The sequence below is a fragment of the Homo sapiens genome, chromosome 7, assembly GCF_000001405.40.
Source record: "Homo sapiens chromosome 7, GRCh38.p14 Primary Assembly".
In the NCBI taxonomy this organism is placed as follows: Eukaryota; Metazoa; Chordata; class Mammalia; order Primates; family Hominidae; genus Homo; species Homo sapiens.
The window spans coordinates 46,290,029-46,291,815 of NC_000007.14; the positions used below are offsets into that span (position 1 = coordinate 46,290,029).

Here is a 1,787-nt window from a genome sequence, read left to right on the forward strand (position 1 = left end):
GAACGTCCTGCTTGAAACTCAGGAATGTGTTGTACCCCAGGGTTTGGGCACACAGATTGCACTAAAATGGAACCCAAAGGATTTCTATGCCTTACAAATGTATTCTAGAAGTGAGCAGTTGTAGCTGAATCCTCCAGCTATGTAGCTGGGAGCAGTGATTTAGGTCATAGGCCAACAACATCTTTTTGGGGTAAAGGAGCATTTTATCACTGGTGTTGTTTAGAATCTCTGGCAAACACTGGTGATGAAAACCAGGCTGATTTTTATAGGGTTTTATGATTGTCTTTAAGTTTTCTGCAGACAATGTACCCCTCACTGCCTGCACCCAGAATGGGGGGCATGCCCACTGCCCTGCCATTGGTACAACGTTGCACAGAATTCCACTTTTGTATGATTTCATTGTGCTAAATGCCTGTGTTGCTGGAGACCTTTTAGGTCAGCTTTATTGCAACATGCAATCATTATACCTCAGCCCCTGTCTGGGAAGCTTTAGAGAGGAGGGTTCAGGAGTGAGGCTTGGGCTCCTGAGCCCATTGCTTTAAGTGGTGTTGACATGTTTGATAAGGTGTGCACCAGACCCCCTCCTTCTGGGTCAGCAGTAGCCTCCAGTGCTGGCACTAAAGAAGACTTGCAAATGAATATCCCTCTTCACAGAGAAGGGTCCACATTAAATGTGTAACTAGGAGGAAGTAGATCCTTTATTCAGCCCCTAGATCTGAAAGTGCTGCTGACCAGAGGGAAGACCCCTGCCTGCCTTTCTTCCAGTGGTGGTTCAGATTCAACAAGCAGGAACTGAGTGTTGACTTTCTGCACTTATCTGTTAACCAAGGTTTTATAACCTCTAAAGAGGAAGGAACTGGTATTTAGTGAATACCTACCCTGTTGCATGGGGACTATAATTCCCCCTTTTTTAAGAGACTAAGTTGAGGCTTTGGTTTTCAGGGCTACCTGGTTAAGAATAGAAATCTCCCAGATGTCCAGACACCAGGACTGGGTGCCACTGAGATGGCTCAGCTGGGACACACAGTCAGCACACTAAACCCAAAGCTGTCCCTGGAAACGGCCCCACTTGCTTCAGGGCATGGTGCAAAACGTTGATTTAATCTGAGAAGCTGCTCTCTGGCTTTAGGCCAGAGGAGCCACCCACCCAGCCAGAGAGGAGCCTGGCCACCATTACTCAGACCTCTCCTTTCTGGAGAGGGAGTGCACAGCTGGCTCTGTCAGGCGTGGCTCGCAGGCCTGCGGAGTCATTCTGATCCCATTACCTGCATTGCCCACATTACTCCAGAGGCCCCTGATCTCAGCCCACAACTCTGGGCAAATACATGCATCTCACCTGCACAACATCTCTCAAGGAGGCTGTGAAAGGGTTTTTTGTCTCTTGTGTGTTGATGGATGGGTGATGAAACAAGAATACCCAGGGAATGATTGATCATAATTCTTGGTCACCTGAAAGTTGATCTTATTCCTTAGTAGACTGGATTCTACTGGGTAAGGACATCGTGTAGCTCTGTGCCTTGATTTTCTAGAAAAAGAAAGCAAAACAAAACCCAAAACACAAATAAAACAATGATCAAACCGAATTAATGAATTAGTTACTTATTCCTTAAATGTGTCATTTGAGAATCCTGAGCCCATTTTGATCTGGTCTAGGATAAATAGTCATCCCTCTTACCTGTCCATCTACTTAACAAAACTGGCGGGTTACGTGCAGTGTTATTTTTAATGATTCATACTAAAACTTGATGTGTGAGAGCAATATACTAATAGTTTCAGGGAACACTGAC

At 45.5% G+C, this 1,787-nt stretch overlaps 1 annotated feature.

Moving 5' to 3' along the window:
• Positions 970-1,049: an enhancer, noted in NCBI's record as "active region_25974". NCBI's record gives its function as "activates an Ori minimal core promoter by ATAC-STARR-seq in GM12878 lymphoblastoid cells {active_cell/tissue: GM12878}" and the evidence as "EXISTENCE:reporter gene assay evidence [ECO:0000049][PMID:35858748]".